The sequence below is a fragment of the Homo sapiens genome, chromosome 15, assembly GCF_000001405.40.
Source record: "Homo sapiens chromosome 15, GRCh38.p14 Primary Assembly".
NCBI lineage: Eukaryota > Metazoa > Chordata > Mammalia > Primates > Hominidae > Homo > Homo sapiens.
This window is the reverse complement of record NC_000015.10, coordinates 29188741-29208596: the sequence shown is the minus strand read 5'-3', so window position 1 is coordinate 29208596 and position 19856 is coordinate 29188741. Positions and strand designations below refer to the sequence as shown.

Here is a 19856-nt window from a genome sequence, read left to right as displayed (position 1 = left end):
TCCCACCAGGGGTGTATGTGAGTTCTGTTTACTGAGGAATCTGATATCTGTGGTGTGCTGGCGCCTCCCTCAAACCTCAGCTGTCGCTTCCTGCAGAAGCACAGAGAGAATTGCTTCCCCTGCCACTGGGCAGAGGCTTGAGAGCACTCTGAGGCTGCCCTATTTGCCAGCATTTCTCGATCATTTCAAAGTAGATGACACATGTTTTTAAGGAGTCAGCTAATTCCCTCCTAGCAAGCATCAACATTTTACAATGTCTTTATGTATTTGGTCATAAACATTTTATTTTCTCCTATTTTTGGCCCTATCTACTTATAGGTAGGACAGGGATGGCAAGTAGGTTTCACGTTGTGTGCCAGCTTCCTCTGCCTGGCATTAAGTGCCCAGAACAGTGTGTTGAGTAGGATTCTAAGGCTGTTATCTGGACTCAGGGTGGGGGGAGGGGAGGGTGAAAGCAAAAGAGGGAAATGGTGGGATGTGTGGTCTGTGTTTGCCATCCCTGCTGTAGGGGACACAAAAGGCAGTCTCAGTTCTCAGAAGTCCCGGCATTTGTAAGCCCCCCAGGGGACAGGGGGGCTACAGGCTAGGAGGGGCCAGCGTGGGGGTTTGTGTCCCTAGCTTGGCAGGGAAGGTGGGGTGACCCCCACTGATGGCTGCATTCCCAACCTAGTGGGGAGGCTGGGGGGATCCCTCAGTGACACGCCCATCCACATGATTCCACGCCCATTGTGCAGAACAGGGAAACCCTCCAGTGATGAGCTGGCTTTGTCCCCAGGCCTGGCAGGGACTGGATTTAGCACCTCTCCAGGAACAAACAGGTGCCCAGTCCCTCGTGCTCTGGAGTAAGGAAGAGAGAGGTGAAGCCAGCTGGACTTCCTGGGTGGAGTGGGGACTTGGAGAACTTTTCTGACTTACCAGGGGATTGTAAAACGCACCAATCAGCACCCTATAGCTAGGTTTGTAAAATGCACCAATCAGCGCTCTGTAAAATGCACTAATCAGCGCTCTGTAAAATGCACCAATCAGCAGGATTCTAAAAGTAGCCAATCGTGGGGGAGGATTGAGAAAAGGGCATTCTGATAGGACAGAAACAGAACATGGGCGGGGACAAATAAGGGAATAAAAGCTGGCCACCCCCCCCGCCCCCCAACCGGCAGCGGCACACCGCTCGTAGGAGGTGGAAGATCTGTTCTCTTGCTCTTCGTAATAAACTTTGTTATCACTCACTCTTTGGGTTCGTGCAATCTTTAAGAGCTGTAACACTCGCTGGGAACGTCTGCGGCCTCATTCTTGAAGTCGGTGAGACCAGGAAGCCACGGGCGGGAACCAATTCTGGACACAATGCCAGTCCAAATGCTTCCACGCCTAGTGTGTAGCACAGGGGAAACACCCCAATAATGGGCCGGCTTTGTCCTCAGGTCTGGCAGGGACTGCATTCAGCATCTCTCCAGGAACAAAAAGGTGCCCAGTCCTTGATGCTCTGGAGTAAGGAAGAGCTGGAGGGGCTGGCTGAGGGCACTGCTGCAGGAGCTGCTTGGCGAGTAGCTTTGAGCCACTCGCGGGAAAGTGGCTCCGTGTCATCCAACCTACGGAGCATGTCTATGTTGGCCCTGAGTTTATGCCGGGGAGACAGTGGTGAAGGTAGTTTTGATTGGTCCCAAACTGTCGATGTTGGTGACACGTGTGTGAATATAAAACGTTTAGGCAGAACACGGAAGGGATTAAAACCAAACTAAATGAGTTAGTAATTACGTGTGGTGGTAATTTTTTTCTGAAACACCTTTATTGTGATATAATTCACGTATCATACAATTCACCCACTTAAAGTGTAAAATTCAGTGTTTTCTTAGTATATTTACCGTATGTGCGTCACCACCCCAGTCAATTTTAGAGCATTTTCATCACCTCAAAAAAACATACCATACCCTTTATGTCGCACCCCGGATTGGCCCCTGTCCCCGACTGAGTCCCAGACAACTGCTAAGCTGGTTTCTGTCCCTGTGGGTTTTTCTGTTCTGGATGTTGAATGGAATCATGCGGGGTGTGATCTGTGGTATCTGGCCTCTTTGACTTAGCATAATGTCATCAGGGTCCACCCATGTTGCACTGTGATTACTGGAGTTTTTGGGGTCTTACCAGTGCCTTTAAGTGCCTTGAGCATCACCAGCATAAGGGTTTTTGCTGTGGTCTGAATGTTTGTGTCCCCCACCCCCGAATTTCTATGTTGAAATTCTAACCTCCATGGTGATGGTATTAGGAGGTGGGGTCCTTGGGAGGTGATTAGGTCATGTGGGTGGAGCCCGCATGAGTGGGTTAGTGCCTTTATAATAGAAGTCCCAGAAAACTGCCTTGTCTCTTCTGCCAGGTGAGGACACAGTGATCCATCTGTGAACCAGGATGTCACCATACACCAAATCTGCTGGTGTTTTAATCCTGGGCTTCCCAGCCTCCAGAACTCTGAGAAATAAATTTCTACTGTTTATAAGCCACCCCGTCTGTGGTATTTGTTAATAGTAGTCCAGAGAAAGGCAGTTATGTCGTCCTGTGTCATTGGGGCTGGTGTTGTGGGGACCCTCTCCCACCACCAGCAGGGATGCTGCAGGACAGTGGCATTGCTCAGAAAGCAGGACAAGGACTGAGTGAGGCAAGTGAGATGCTTACCTCTGCAGCAAGACTTAAGGTGGCTCATTCTTGAGACAAAGGAAGCAAAAATTACTGGGTTAGGGAGAAATCAACAGGTTACTGACAGTTTTTGTGAAAGTGATGGAAACCTACAAGTATTCAAAAAGTTGAATTGACTTCTGTTCATCACAGAACACAATCAACAGAAGAGGCTCCGTGGGTGAAAATATTTACCAATTGTATAGTTGATAAGAGGTTACTATCCGGAATGTATAAAGAACTCCTACAGCTCAACAAGAACACAAACAACCCAATTTGAAAACAGGCAAAGGATTTGAATAGATATTTCTCCAAATAATATATACAAATGGCCAGTAAGCACATGAAAAGGTGCACAACATCACTAATGGTTAGGGAAATGCAACTCGAAACCAGAGTGAGATACCACCTGACACCCACTGCAATGACTATGATTTTTTGAAAACCCAGAAAATAAGTGTTGGTGAGGATGTAGAGAAGTTGGAAGCCTTGTACACTCTTGGTGGAACGTAAAATGGCACAGCTGCTGTGGAAAACATTATGACATTTTCTTAAATCATTAAACAGAGAATTGCCACATGATCCAGCAATTCCCCTTCTGGGAATTTACCCAAATAATTGAAAGCAGGGACTCAAATAGATATGTGCACACCCATGTTCATAGCAGCATTATTCACAGCAGCCAAGAGCTGAAAACATCCCAGGTGTCCATCTACAGATGAATTATCAAGAAAATATGGTAGATGCATCTGATAGAACATTCTTCAGCCTTAAAAAGGAAGGAAATCTCGACACGTGCTACCACATGGATGAACCTTGAAGACATGCTGAGTGAAATAGGCCAGCCACAAAAGGACAAATACTGCCTGATTCCACTTGCAGGAGGTACCTGGAGTAGTGAATCCACAGAGAGAGAAAGTAGAATGGGAGTTGTTGGGGGCCTGTGGGAGAGGGAATGGGGATTTGTTTAGTGGTGACAGAGTTTCAGTTTGGAAAGATGAAAAAGTTGTGGAGGTGGATGGTGGTGATGGTAGCACAACGAGGTGAATATGTTTAATGCCACTGAACTGTATGCCGACAAATGGTGAAGATGGTAAATTTTATGTTGTGTGTATTTTACCACAATTTAAAAATTAGGGTCTAGTTTTTGTAGCTTTGTTTGAACCTTTGGGAAGAAAACTTAGGGTCTAGTTTCTACAAATTTTTTCTTTAATGTAAATAATAGCAACATCAATAACACCGGCAAATAGCGTTGGCACTCTGCATTTTTACCTGTCTAATCTCATTTGATCCTCACTGGGGTCCGGGAACCTGAAGCCCAGAGAGGTCACATGGCTTGTCCTGGGTCACTCCATGGCAGTTAGGACTGTGAGTAGTCTGACTCTGTCACCCGTGCTGCGCCTCCTTCCTCCTCGAAACAGGCTCCTCACATCCAAGGATACTGGCCTTGGTGTGCCCACTGTAAGTTCTCGGGCTTGACACATGCCAGCCTCTTCCCAGCCCTCTGCCCTGCTCTGCCTACATGCTCAGCCTTCCCACACTGCCTTCCCTTTGAGAATATCTGAAGGTCACATACCCATCCCATTTGTACTTCTGTAAGAGAATCGTGGGGGCATCCCCCTCTTTTTGTTGTATAAGCCCTTTCTACTCCCAGACAGGCTGATAGACCATAAATAAGGGGGGCAGGCTAGCTGTTAAGTGCCCCAAAGAGATTTGTGAAAAATTACTGTGGCCTCATTTGCAAAGCTCTGCGGTGTCGTTCCCAATGACCCGAACACTGAGGGGTACTCTTAAAATAAATCTGTCAGCCGCCTGCACACCCAGATGTCGAGGTCAGGGAACTAACCAGGAGGTTTTCAGAATTTTCCTAAGAATTAATCACAAACTCAGTGAAATAACTGATGGAAAAGATTTATTTGGATGTCTATTCCCTGGGGTCATTGAAGGGTTATTTTATTTGATAAATCATGCTTTCCAGACAAGCTGATCTCCCCTCCCTTTCCCCGGATGATCCTTCAGACTGAGGAAAATGTCTTGCCATTTATGATAGCTACTTCAATCTTAATGCCTAGCCTAGAGATGTGATCATATGAGATAATTCCTTGAATGTTTTTGAGACGTGGGAGAGTGAACTGTTTCAGGAGAGCTGGACTCCTGTCCAGTTGATCACAGCAAAGGGAAACAGTTGAAGCCAAAGAGGATATAGATCAAAGGGTACAAAATTTCAGTTAGATTGGAGTAAGTTTTAGTGATCTATTTCACAAAATGATGACTAAAATAAATAATGCCTCGTATATTTCAAAATTGCTTAAGAGTAGATTTTAAATGTTTTCACCACAAAAAGATAAATATATCAGCCAACAAACATGAAAAAAAGCTCATCATCACTGATCATTAGAGAAATGCAAATCAAAAACCACAATGAGATACCATCTCATGCCAGTTAGAATGGCAATTATTAAAAAGGCAGGAAACAACAGATGCTGGTGAGGCTGTGGAGAAACAGGAACAATTTTGTTGTTGTTGTTGTTTTCAAGACAGAGTCTCGCTCTGTCACACAGGCTGGAGTGCAGTGGCGCGATCTCAGCTCACTGCAAGCTCTGCCTCCCGGGTTCACGCCATTCTCCTGCCTCAGCCTCCCCAGTAGCTGGAACTGCAGGCACCTGCCAAAACGCCTGGCTAATTTTTTGTATTTTTAGTAGAGACGGGGTTTCGCCATGTTAGCCAGGATGGTCTCGATCTCCTGTCCTCGTGATCCGCCTGCCTCGGCCTCCCAAAGTACCGGGATTATAGGCGTGAGCCACCGTGCCCGGCCTAGGAACGGTTTTATACTGTTGTGGGAGTGTAAATTAGTTCAACCATTGTGGAAGACAGTGTGGCAATTCCTCAAGGATCTAGAACCAGAAATACCATTTGACCCAGCAATCCCATTACTGGGTGTATACCCAAAGGATTATAAATCATTCTGCCACAAAGACACATGCACATGTATGTTTATTGCAGCACTATTTACAATAGCAAAGACTTGGAACCAACCCAAATGCCCATCAATGATAGACTGGATAAAGAAAATGTAGCACATATACACCATGGAATACTATGCAGCCATAAAAGAGAATAAGTTCATGCCTTTTGCAGGGATGTAGATGAAGCTGGAAGCCATCTTTCTCAGAAAACTAACACAGGAACAGAAAACCAAACACTGCATGTTCTCACTCATAAGTAGGAGTAGAACAGTGAGAACACATGGACACAGGGAGGGGAATATCACATACCAGGGCCTGTCAGGGGTTGGGGGCAAGGGGAGGGAGAACATTAGGACAAATACCTAATGCATGCAGGGCTTAAAACCTAGATGATGGGTTGACGGGTGCAGCAGACCACTATGGCACATATATACCTATGTAACAAACCTGTACATTCTGCACCTGTATCCCAGAACTTAAAGTAAAATAAAAAAAATTTTTAAAATGGGAGGTGATTTGTGAATTAGCTTGATTCAATCATTCTGCAATGTAAACATTACTAAGACATCACACTGTACCCCATAAATATGTAATATAGAATTATTTCTCAACTAAAAATAAAATTAAAAAAAGAAACTAGATAAAGAGCAGCATAATCAACCCAAAGCAAATAGGTGTCAGGAAATCATAAATGAAAGAGCAGAAATCAATGAAATGGACAACAGAAAACCAATGGAGAAAAACCAATGAAAAAGGAGCTGATACTTTGACAACATCAACAACATTGACAAAACTCTAGCAAGAAAAAAAGTTAGAAGACACAAATTCCCAATGTCTGGGAAGAAACCGGGATATAACTACAGACCCAGCAGACATCAAAAGGATAATAAGGGAATAATAGGAATGGCTTTACACAAATGAACTTCACAACTTAGATGAAATAGATCAATTTCTTGGAAAACACGAACTAACACAACTCGTACACTATGAAGTAGAGAATTTGAATAGCCCTATAATTATTAAGGAAATTGAATTTATAATTCTAAAACTTCCAAAAACAAAATCTCCAGGTCCAGATGGTTTCACTGGAGAATTCTATTAAGCATTTATAGAATTAATACCATTTCTACACAATTTCTCTGAAAAAATAGAAGGAACATTTCCAAATTGATTTTTGTGAAAGTAATATTGCCATGCTACCAAAATCCAGACAAAGACAGTATAGAAAAATAAAATTACAGGCCAATATCCCTTATTAATGTAATATAGATACAAAAATCCTTAACAAAATAATAACGAATAAAATTCAACATATCTGAAAGGAGTTATATACATCATTGCCAAGAGGGATTATTCCAGGGATTCAAAACTGGTTTGATATTCAAAAATCAGTCAATTTATTCTATCATATCAACAGGCTAAAGAAGAGAAACTGCATGGCTGTATCAATTGTTGGAGAAAAAGCATTTGACAAACTCAAGCACCTTTTCATAACTAAAAAGGAAACTTAGAAAAATAGGCATAGAGAACGTCCTCAACTTGAAAAAGAGCATCTACAAAAGACCTACAGCTAACACACTTAATGGAGACTGAATGCTTTTCCCCTAAGATCAGGAACAAGGCAAGCATGCTCATTCGTACCATTTTTTTCAATATAGAACATAATGCTGTAATTTCAAGCCAATGTAGTATGGCAAGAAAATAAAATAAAAGGCATAAAGATTAGAAAAGAACAAATATAACTAACTCTGTTTGTGGATGACATGAGTATCTATGTAGAAAATCCCAAAGAATCTTTAAAAAACAAACAGAACAAACAAGCCTCTTAGAATTAATAAGTGAGTTCAGCAAAGTTGTAGGATACAAGATAAACATACAAAATTCAATTGTATTTCTTGTGTATTAATAGTGAACTGTATAGTAACAGTAATACTGCATATTAATAGCATATGGACACTGAAATTAAAAATCGCTTAAAAAGATACATAAGTGTAAATCTAACAAAACATACACTGAAAACTGCGTTAACAATGAGGAAATAAATAAATTGGAAAATTCAATGTAGTAAATATGTCCATTTCCCCCCAGTTAATATGTGGGTTTGGGCTGGGCACAGTGGCTCACACCTGTAATCAATCCCAGCACTTCAGGAGGCCAAGGCAGGCAGATCACCTGAGGTCAGGAGTCCAAGACCAGCCTGGCCAATATGGCGAAACCCCATCTCTACTAAAAATACAAAAAAAATTAGCTGGGCCTGGTGGCGGGCACCTGTAATCCCAGCTACTCAGGAGGCTGAGGCAGGAGAATTGCTTGAATCCAGAAGGCAGAAGTTTCAGTGAGGTGAGATCACGCAATTGCACACCAGCCTGGGCAACAAGAGCAAAAATTCCATCTCAAAAAAAAAAAAGAAACTGGGTTTGATTCAATCCCTATCAAAATCCCAGCAACACTTTTTTTGGAGACAATGACAGTCTTATTCTAAAATGTATATGGAGACGAGGTGTGGTGGCTCACGCCTGTACACCCAGCACTTTGGAAGTCTGAGGTGAGAGGATCACTTGAGGCCAGGAATTCGAGACCAGCCTGGCCAACATGGCAAAACCTTGTCTCTACTAAAAATACAAAAATTAGCTAGGCATGGTGGCGTGCTCCTGTAATTCCAACTATCTGGGAGGCTGAGCCATGAGAATCGCTTGAACCCGGGAGGCGGAGGTTGCAGTGAGCTGAGATGGTGCCACTGCACTCCAGCCTGGGTGACAGAGCAAGACCTGTCTCAAAAAAAAAATGTATATGGAGAGACAAATAATTTTGAAAAATAAGAATTAAATGGGAGGAATTAATTTTTTGATTTCCAGACTTATAGCCACAGTAATCAAGACTTGGTGGTTGGTGGAAAGATAGATCAATGGAACAAAGAGAGAATCCAGATAGAGACACACAAATATGCCCGACTAATTTTTGACAAAAGTCAAAAGGAATTAAGCAAAGAAAAGATAGATTTTTCAACAAATGTTGGAACAATTGGACATCTATAGGCAAAAATAGTCAACCTCATCCCAAGTCTCATATCTTTCACTAAAAGTGACTGAAAATGGGTCATGCAATCAAATGTAAAAATAAAATTATAAAACATTTAGAAAAAACATAGGAGAAAGATCTAGGGCTAGGCAGAGTTCTTAGATCAACACCAAAAGTGTAGGAGCAAAAATATGTAAGTTGGCCTTCATCAAAATTTAAAACGTTTACTCAATGAATGATCCTTTTGAGAGGATAAAAAGATAAACTATAGACTGAGAAAATATTTACAAGCCGCATATATAACAAAACCATGTACTATATATGATTTGTCTTTTATGCTGAGTTAAAATTGTTTTATTATTTGTTTAGTGTCTCTGTTCCTAATTTACTCTCAAACTTCCCAGGAGAACTGAAAATCTCCTCTGAATACAGTCCTACCCATCAAGCGTTCTGTCAGCTTCATTTTCTTAGAGACGTTTCCATTGAGCCTGTTTCCTGCTTCAGTCTGAACAAGTCAGCCTATAGGCAGTCTATATATTTACCATGCTAGGACATCCTTTTCCCATTCTCTTAGAACTTCCTCTATCTCTTTTCTGTGTTAGATCCCATCTTCCCTTTTTTTCTTGGCTTAGTCCCTCATTTCAAGGAAGAAGTACCTCTTCCAGTACTTTCTTATCTAAAATTAAAAAGACTAAAACAAGCACAAGCCAGGATGTGGAGTAATGGGGACCCTCGAACAGTGCTGGTGAGTGTGTAAATTGGTACAGCCACTTTGGAAAGTGGCTTTGTATTCTCTGCTAAAGCTGAAAATCCCCAGGGACCCAGCAGCTCTGATCAATAGGTATTTTGTACCCAAAAGAAATATGCACATGTATGTACCAGCAGACTAGTACAGAATATCAAACAGCATTAATCTTATTGCAAAAAAATTAGCAACAATCCAAACGTCCCGTGACAAGAGAATAGATATATAAATGGCAGCATATTCACACAATGTAATATACAACAGTGAACATGATCAACTATATTTATATGCAGTAAGGTAGATGAATCTTGTAATTTTGAATGAAAGATGCCAAATACTAAAAATATTGTATGATTCTATTTGTATCAAGTTAGAAAACCAGGTGAAACTAAACTATAGTGGTAAATGTATAAAGGTGGAAGCCTAGAAGTGATTATTTAAAAAGTAAGGAATGTGGTGAGCTTTTGGTGCAGCAAGTGGGAGGAATGACAGGGAATGAGGCATGGAAGGCCTTTTAGGAACATGGCCATGGGCCGGTGGGTGCTTGCTTAATGATAAATCATTGAACTGAATATGTTTGCTTTGTGCACTTTTTGTGTATGTGTGTTAGGTTTCACAATATGAACGGTTAAGAAAATGAGGAAAGATGAAAACAAACCCACCCACCCCCAAATTAGATACTATTATATTAGTTACTGCATGGACAAAAATGTCTAAGTCCAACATTAGCAAGCATTGGTGAGGATGTGGATTAGCCTGAATTCACACCCTATTGGTGGGAGTATAATTTGTTTGAATTATTTGAAAAATGGTTTGATCTTACCTAGTAATGTTGTGTGTGCATGTACCATAGGGCAGAACAGTTCTGCAGGGGTGCTCCACGGGTTTCCTGCTGGGACTGGAGAGCTGGCAGCTCCCTGGAATCTGTTCTTTTCCTGCTGTATATTGGAAGTTCCAGGGAGAGGGTGCAGAAACATGAAGCCTGTGGAGGTCTTAAGTTCAGAAGCTGCAAGCTGACACCTCTACCCATATTCTCCTGCTGAAAGCCACTCGCAAAGCCCACCTGACATGGAGCAGGGGGTGGCAGGGGCTAAGTCTTAAGCTAAGCTGAGTTCCTCTGGTGAATATCAGCACATTTCTTGGCTCTGAGGATGCTCCATTACCCCTCCCCCAGTATTTAGGAGAGGCGGACATGTTGATACCTGGAGGTTTTATAAGTATGGCCTCAGTCTCAGCAATATTCATGCAATGAAAAATTATTTGTTATGGTTATAAATGGCCAATATTTGTCTGAAAAGTATTTGTACTTCGAGTTGGCTGCTGTAAACATATTATCTATTGGAAAGCAGGGCACTTCTTAGTCTAAGGAAAATAACTTGTTTCATGTTCAGTGTTATTTTGAATAAAATTGCATAGATTTTACTGATTTTTTTTTTTTTTTGAGATGGAGTCTTGCTCTGTCATCCAGGCTGGAGTGCAATGGCATGATCTCAGCTCACTGCAACCTCCGCATCCTGGGTTCAAGCGATTCTCCTGCCTCAGCCTCTTGAGTAGCTGGGATTACAGGTGCATAGCACCACGCCGAGCTAATTTTTGTATTTTTAGTAGAGACGGGGTTTCACTGTGTTGGTCAGACTGGTCTTGAACTCCTAACCTTGTGATCTGCCCGCCTCAGCCTCCCAAAGTGCTGGGATTACAGGTGTGAGCCACCGCGCCTGGCCTGATTTTCTTTTTTAGTAGTTTTACATCTAGGACTTTATTATTTTTTATTTACGTATTTTTGAGACAGAGTCTCAGTATGTTACCCAGCCAGGCTGGTCTCAAACTCCTAGGCTCAAGCAATCCTCCTGCCCTGGCCTGCCGAGTAGCTGCAAATGCAGGTGGTGTACCACCACACCTGGCTAGGACTTTACTTTTTTAAAGCTGCTTTTCTCCTAGGCACTGGTAACTCTGTTCTCTTCCCTCTCACTGAGACTCTCATACTCTCTCTTCGTCTAACACTGCTTTTTAAAATACTTGAAATGCATTTTTTTCTTCCATGGTTTTCCATTTTCCAAGCCGTTTTTATTCATTCAGCATTTATTGAACACCTACAACTTGTTGCCATTGTCAATACTGTGGTGATAAGATGCACCTGTAGCTGGATAAAGTCAGTCTTCAGTAGCAGTGAGGCAGGAAAACCAGACAAGGCCTCGAGGGTGGCGCTGGAGTTGGGTCTTGATGGATGAGCAGGAGTTTGATAGGCCATGAAGTGAGGCAGGAAATTTCTGACTGTGGAAGGAGAATGAGCCAAGGCACAGAGCTAGGATAGCACATCTCCGTGCATACATCAGCATGAGTGACTTTCAATCTATTTACCTTTATCTCATTTTGTAATCCACCTGCCATTTTCTCTAATGTATAGCTTAAGTTTCTTCAAATGTACTTTTGCTTTTTCTATACATTGCTGTTAAGATAGGAATTTGAAGTCCTCCTGATGGCCTGGGTCAATAGAAATTGTTTTTGCTGTACTACTTAAACACACTGAAACAGGCTCCTTTGAACTGAGCCATTTTCCTGTGTTCTGAACTGTGTCACTCACGCGTACCCTCGGGGGTCGAATGCCTGTTAACGGTGAGGTCTGTCTGTGTTCCTCTGTCTAGATTAAGTTTGACAGTGTGGAGGTGTGTGTCTGCTGTGAGCTGCAGCACCAGTCGTCCGGCTGCAGCAACCTCGGGGAGACGCTGAAGCTGAACCCGCTGCAGGAGAACTGCAACGCTGTGAGGCTGACCTTGAAGGTGACCCCGCTGGGCGCTGCTTGTGCATGCATTTCATTCCATGCCTTACAGACAGTTTAGGAAGCCTTATTAACATATAGATTCCTTTCAGCTCTTAACTTCCCGGGGTAGGTTCAGTGCAAGAGGGAATATCTTTCCAGAGAACATTTGAAAGGATTATATATTTTGATTTTGAAAGTGTTGCTTTCTGGATCTCACTTTGCATTTTTGCCATTTCATTGTCCTACCTCTGACATCTGCAAATTCGGATGCAAATGGTTGAAAGAGGTCTTTACAAATGATGATGGGATCATTCTACGGCTTTTCTGACATTTTTGGCTGTTATACCATCAGGGAACAAATGGGGATTTATTTTGCTTTTTAAAAGATATTTGGAGGAAAAAAATCAGACAGTCTCCCCTGGGAGTCTATTCTTATGTGTAGCATTTGATGTTTAAAAAAAAAGTGATTTGGAAAAATTGTTTATATTATTTTATTTTTTCTTCCGAGTGTTTTATTCTGAAAAGCAAAATTGGCTACTTAAAAATACATAAGAAGAGTGAACCCAATTCTTCTGTTTCCCCTGAATAAAACTGTGCCAAAACTTTTTAAAAAGATGTGGCACAAGCCGGGCGCAGTGGCTCACGCCTGTAATCCCAGCACTTTGGGAGGCTGAGGCAGCCGGACCACTTGAGGTCAGGAGTTCGAGACCAGTCTGGCCAACATGGTGAAACCCCCTCTCTACTAAAAATACAAAAATTAGCCAGGTGTGGTGGTGGGCGCCTGTAGTCCCAGCTACTTGGGAGGCTGAGGCAGGAGAATCATTGGAACCTGGGAGACAGAGGTTGCAGTGAGCCGAGATTGTGCCACTGCACTCCAGCCTGGTGACAGAGCAAGGCTTCATCTCAAAAGAAAAAAATGGATAAATAAATATAAAAAGATGTGGCACAGTCCAAGGAACTCTTAGTTGGTGGTAAAATTGTGTTTGCAGTATGGAGGGGGTTCTAGCATGTGTGTAGGGAATGCAGTATGCAGGGGATGGGAAACTGCAGAGAGCCACCTCGGATCTGGGGAGAGGAGGAAAGCGTTGACCTTGAGTGCTTGTGATTAGTCCTCCATGGGTGGTCTCCGGCTGGTAGACAAGCAAAGATGTACAGAGAGAGAGGATGCGGCTCATCTCCATGGTAGGACTACGCCTGGCTCACAGCGCCTGTCATGTTTTGCACGGAGGAATGGTCCAAGTTGGATGGTCCCAGCAGCTCACCAGAGTGACAGATGCAGCGGGGTTGGAGGAATCAAGAACTGCAGCACTCCAGGGCCCATCCCATCATGGGACCAGGTATTTCATGCTGCCCACATTACCTACGCCCACATTCTACCTCACTGCATCCTGGAGCCTGCCTGGGTCAGTGCCTGAGGTCTGCTGTGGCCTTTCACAGCCCTCCTGGGAGGGGACACGGGCAGCCGTTGCTCACTCTGCGATCTCATTCTGACAACTGCTAAGTCACTTCTTCAACCTGGGAATGTTTTCTTGAGTATGGGGATGCATTTGGGCCTCACGTTACCTCCCGTTCCTCAGTTGGCTGGTTGGGGTGTTCAACAGGCTCCTCTAAGGTCCTGGCGTCCCCCTTGAACGCCTTCACTCATGGGATGCAGGACCCGGTTTTCATGACTCTCCAGCCCCTGCAGCAGTGACTGTGGCTTGAAAGGTAATGCTGGTGAAAAAACAACACTGTCTCTAAGAATGCAGTCTCAGGTCTAGGGGGAGCTGGTGACCTTGCAGTCTCACTCTTATTCACTGTTCTGGTACATTGGTGAGAAAAGCCCTTGGTATGAGGTGGCAAAAACGGCATAGAGTAAAGGCCACTGAAGTCAAGAAGTTCCAGGGAAGGCTGGGAGCCTAGCTGAATGCATGGCACATCCCCATGGGTATTCAGATTGCCCAGGACACTGGTAAGAGTTGAAAGCAAAGGAAAGACTACACTATTTTAAACTCCCTCATGAATTTGTGTACAAAGCCTACTTAGAGATAGGAACTATCAAAACTGGTGGCAGGAGGCTCAAAGGAGGCAGGAGTTGTGATTAAGGTGTGAGGCCAATGGTCTGGAAGTGGCAGCAGTGGCTTAGGTGCTAGGAGAAGAGGCAGCCTGCCCCTGTCCCCCACCTGAGGGCCTATGCAAGGAGCAACAGCCTTGGCAGGGACTGACTTTCATCTGAGATCAAGAGGACCAGGGACTATTGGAAGCGAGTATCTGTTTATTGCTGTCGTCCAATTTTGTTGCTTTTCAGAATTGTCTTAGCTATCATTTCCTTTGTAATTCCATATAAATTTTAGAATCCACTTGTGCATTTTCTACTAGAATCCTGCTGGGATTTTAATTGAGATTGCATGGAGTCCACATGTCACTTTGAAGAGACTTGACATATTCATGATCTAGTTCTTCATTTATTTAAGTCATACTTCATTTCTTCAGTGTTTCTTTTTTTCATCAGTCTTGTGTAAATTTCAGTATATAGATCTTAACATATTTTGTAATAGTTATGCTTAAAGTATTCCACATTTATTGGTGCTATCCTAATGGTATTTTTTAATGGTCTCTTATTCACTGCTAGCACATAGAAATTTGATTTTTGTTACCAATCTTGTATCCTGTGGTCTTGACTAAACTCAGTTCTGGTAGCTCTTTTGCAGATTCTTTGGGTTTTCTTATGTAGACAGTCATGTGCTATGCAAAGAGAGGCAATTTTACGTCTTCCATTCTCCAGACAGAGCCAATAGGACAGATACAGATAGGTGAGAGGGAATTTATTGAAAGAATTGCTCACATTACCATGGAGACTAAGAAGTCCTATGACAGTCCCATCTGCAAGCTGGAGACCCTGGAAAGCTGGGAGTTTGGCTCAGTCGAAGTCAAAAGGCCTCAGAACCAGGGAAACCAATGGTGGAACTCTCAGTCCAAGGCCAAGAACCTGCGGGGAGTGGTTGCACCAGTGTGAGTCCCAGGGTCCAAAGGCCAGAGAGCCTGAAGTTCTGATGTCCAAGGGCAGGAAAGGGTGTCTCAGCTCCAGAAGAGCAAAAGAAAATAATTCGCTTTTCCTCTGCCTTTTTGTTCTATCCAGGTCCCCAGACGATCAGATGTTGCCCCCCAACATTGAGGGTGGATCTTCCCCACTCAGTTCACAGACTCACACACCAATCTCCTCTGGAAACACCCTCACAGACACACCCAGAAACAATGCTTTGCCAGTTCTCGAGTATCCTTCATCCAGTCAAGTTGACACCTAAAATAAATCAGCACACATTGCAATCTGGATGCCCCTTACTTCTTTTCCCTGTTTTATTACACTGACTAGACCGCCCCGTAGAGTGTTGAATAGATATGGTGAGAACAGATGTCCTTCTCTTGTTCCTGCTTTTAGGGATTAAGTATAATGTTAGCGCTAAGTTTTTCATAGATGTTTATTATCAGGTTGTAGAAGTACCCTCCTATTCCTAGTTTGCTGAGAGTGGTTTTTGTTTTGTTTTTAATACCACGAATGGCTGTTGAATTTTATCAGTCTTTTACTACGTCTGCTTAGATGTTGCTATACATTATCTTCTTCAGTCCACTCAAATGGTGAATAACACTGACTTTTGAGTGGTAAGCCAGCCTTGCATTCCCAAGATAAACCCCACTTGGTCATTTTTTCCTCAACTGTGTCCAGTCCACTGCCGACCCTGTCTATCAAAGGCATTCTTCATCTCTGTGCCTGTTTTTAATTCCTAGTATTTGCATTTGACTCTTCCTCATTGCTTCCACCTCTCTGCTACCTTACCTCAGTGATCTTCCATCTTGTCCACCTTTTCCACTAGAGCTGGTATCTGACTGCATACGCCCCAGGTAAGTGCTCATGTCTCTCCTTGGAGACTCTGTCTTTTCCTTAGAATTTGCTGTCCTGTGACCTCAGCTGTCTGATGGGTTCACCTTAAGTTGGGAATTTGCAGAACCCAATGTCTTCTTCTTGTTGTTGTAATGGTGGGGCAATGTTCTTTCCAGCTTTCTCCATCCTCAGCAGAATCTGGAATAATGTTCTGGAATAATGTTCTACATCATTTTTCCCCCTGGGTGCAGAATTCTTGAGGAAACTTTCTCTTAGGGGTTTATAGATGATATGTTATTCTCTTTTGCATTGAATATCTGTATAGGGAAAAATCTGAAAGTCAGCCAAATGCTTTCTCCCCTTTAGGTATGTGATGGTCATTAATGCTGTTTTAAAACATGTCTAGCTCTCCAACTTCCTTTTACATGGTAAGATTGTACTTCCCTGTCCCCTCATGATTGCTGGGGGCCATGTAAGCAAAGCTTATATGTACCACTTTCAAGTCAGAATGTTTAAATGTGGTTTGAGGTCTTCCAGAGCTCTCTTTCCCACTGGCACAGTAATTGGCAGAGTAGAGGTGATGGCAGTGCCATCAGCCTGGGTCACTACAATGAACAGAGCGTCCTGCACCCTACCCACATTGGAAATGTAGCATGAATGACTTAACAAACTCTTTTGAGACAGGGTCTCACTCTGTTGCCCAGGTTGAGTGCAGTGGCGTGATCACGGCTCACTGCAGCCTCAAACTCCCGGGCCCAAGAGATCCTCCCACCTTAGCCTCCCAAGTAGCTGGGACTGTAGGCATATGCCACCATGCCCAGCTAATTTTTTATTGTTTGTAGAGATAGGATCTCACTGGCCCAGGCTGGTCTCGAACTCCTGGGCTCAAGTGATCCTGCTGCCTTGACCTCCCAAAGTGCTGGGATTATGGGCATGAGCCACTGCCCCTATCCCTGTTCGGTTTTTGTAAAGCTTCTCTTCCTGGCTGTTTTCTGCAGCAGGCATTACCTTTTTCCTCTGCTTGCGATGTGATCTTGAGTCTTGGCAACTCCCTCCTCGGCTCCTTCTGTCTTTGTCTTTTTTTTCCATGAGCCCTTGTGTCTTCGTTTTTATCCCTGAGATTGCAGCAGCCTTCTCTCCTTGGTTACGGTTTGCACCCATGGATGTCTCTAGCTAGTTAATTACAGTGGAGTTTTCAGTGTATTTTATATCTTTTTCAGATCCCTTTTCTGAAGTATATGGATACTTCAAAGCACTAAGGCAGATTCCTAACCCTTAAATTCTATCTCAAGCCTTATGCTCTATTTAAATAGTTAGCATAATTAAGATTTTGTACTTCCTTCCCATAATTATAGATACTTCTTCCTCTGAGAGTCATGTGCCACATTATCTAGTTTTCTCATAATTAGTGGTGCAGTCATTTTTAATATAATCCTTACTCTTGAAAAGTCATCCAAGCCAAGCTGTGCCTGATGACTTTGACTGCAGTGAAAGGATCTTCTGCAGGGATCCGGTGTTGCTTTATTAAAACTCTTGGGCAGCAGAACAAATATGGGCCATTGGAAATGGAGCCACTCTGGGAAGAGGCTGCTCTACTCTTTTGCACGGATATCCAGGACAGCCCCTTCCTATCACCTGCAAAATGTTCTTGACGCTTAGCTAAAGAAGGAGCAAAGGAGAATGTTCCTTTGATTAATTTCCCTTTTGCTTGCTTCTTTTTGGTTGGCAATTAGAGCAGGTCCATTGATCTTTTCCATAGTCTAATTTGAGGCTCTGTTTATCTGATTAGTAACACTCCATGTCTGAATTTTCCATATTAAATTATGGATTATCTATACTTACTATGTAATGAACTCAATTTATGTGGGGGAAATCCTATATAATTGGCTTGGGAATCAAAGCACTTTGATTTTAGTTGTGTTTGAATTAACTGATACTGACTTAATGAGATTTGTCCAACTACTTGCTTCCTGTCAGGCACCCTCCCCTCCTTCCTCCCCTCCCATACCTGGAAGGCTGTACAGGCACAGCCCATCCTCAGGGAAAAAAGCAGAAACCAACTTTCTTCATGGCCGAGGAGGAATAAATTTGGAATCCAGAAGAGCATGCAGATGTTGCTTCACTCATCCCTCGGATTGTCTTTTGTTGGTTTGGAGGCCCCGAAACCCCTGGATCTCTGTTCTGCCCTTCCTGACTGGCCCTGCTCCTAGATTCTCTGTTTTTTTTTTTTAGCAGAGAACCCCTGGGGGCCAACAAGCCTCTCTCTTGAGGATATTGATGGTTTCTTACCTCCTTATGGGGCTGAGCGAGGAGCAGGGCAGAGGGCACAGAGGGGACCTGGAACTCCACCACACCACACAGGGATTCACAGAATTGTAGAGCCAGAGGGAGGGTGCATCCTGGGGTCCATTGACCGATGGTGCAGGTGTGAAGGCTGCAGCCCAGAGAGAGGGCAGGTGGCTCCTCCTGGGTTCCTGAGCAGGTCCTGGTGGAGGGCAGGGACCATCTGAGTGTCTCAGCCCTCCAGGACCCATGTCCCTGCTTCCCGATGACAGGGCCTGCCTCTGGGCATCTCATTATGAATAGTCAGGAAATAGGGTCTAAAAATTAGGATTTCAGTATCTGCCTTCTCAAAGCCTTTGACAGTGATGGACAAGTGCTACTGAAAAAGCAAGGCTACAGACCCCCGTTCCTGATGAAACAGTGTCTCGGCTTTTGTAACAAAAAATGACATAATAAATGCTTAAACAATAAAAAGATGTTTAGGTAGATTGATGGCCATTTTTGCCAAGTCAAACCCAGCGCAAGACTGTGACATATTTTTGGACCAGTATTCACAGTATTTTTTTTTAAGTTACAAAAATCAGAACTGTTAACTGGTGAAATATGCTTCGTAACATGTTGACACTGCATCTAGCCACCTTTAGTGCTTTGCTGTATTCAACAATGTCCTTATGCTTTTATTATAGTGACCTAATTCAAATCAAAGTTAAAGATCTTATTCTTCTTTCATGTACCTGGTTTAATTTACTGAGCCACAATAAACCAAATTACCCAGAGAAACCTTATCAATGGACAAGGAGATAAAAGTTTCCCAAGAAATCAATCAGTTATTGAGTTTATGTGCTTTCTTATCTTTGTCTCTAAGAAAGTTAAAAAAAAAAAAAAAGCAAGACAATTTCCAGCCTCCAGTGCTCTACTCTCACACACCACTCAGCACGAGACTTCTGACACCAGATGTATTCATTTCCCCCATACACCAAACCATTCTCCAGCAGACACCAGCTGGGTGTGCTCAGTTCAACTCAATTCTGACACTCTTTACCTGGAGACAGCGTTGGATCCCACATGTTAAGGGCTCAGCCCCACAAGACCACACTCACTTCTCATGCCAGTCACAAGCCCCAGGTTGTGACCTGTACTTCTGGCCAATGGGGTATAAACTGGGGCTTCCACAACCCCCTACTTGGGTTTGATTGAATTGCTAGAGTGGCTCACAGAACCCACGGAAAGGCTTTACTTCCATGCCCTTGTTGATTATAAAGGATATGAGGCAGGATGCAGGTGCACAGCCAGGTGGAGAGATGCATGTGGCGAGGTTGGGGGAGTCCTGAGCACAAGAGCCCCTGTCCCCGAGGAGCGAGGGTACGCCACCCTCCTGGCATGGGGATGTGTTCGCTGACGCAGAAGCTCTCTGAACCCCTCCGTTCAGGGACTTTTATTTAAGCTGCATCATGTAGGCAGGATCGATTTTTAACTCCGTTTCCAGCCTCTGTCCCTTCTCTGGAGAATGGGGAGTGGGGCTGAAAGCCCCAAGCTCGTCATCATGGCTTGGTCATTCTGGTGACC

The 19856-nt window shown here is 43.5% G+C and overlaps 1 protein-coding gene across 7 annotated transcripts in view; it reads left to right on the top strand.

Moving 5' to 3' along the window:
* ENTREP2 (endosomal transmembrane epsin interactor 2) overlaps window positions 1-19856 on the top strand; it is a 557698-nt gene that overhangs the window by 466813 nt on the left and 71029 nt on the right. For 4 of the 7 annotated variants that reach the window (NM_001387215.1, XM_047432323.1, NM_001387216.1 and 1 more), the window contains exon 4: window positions 12033-12167. The exons of 2 other annotated variants lie outside the window; for them this stretch is intronic. In NM_001387215.1, the coding sequence (NP_001374144.1) occupies window positions 12033-12167 (135 nt within the window). Of the gene's footprint in view, window positions 1-12032; window positions 12168-13257; window positions 13486-19856 lie in introns of all 7 variants that reach the window. One more of the 7 variants, XM_011521407.3, reaches the window with a different exon arrangement.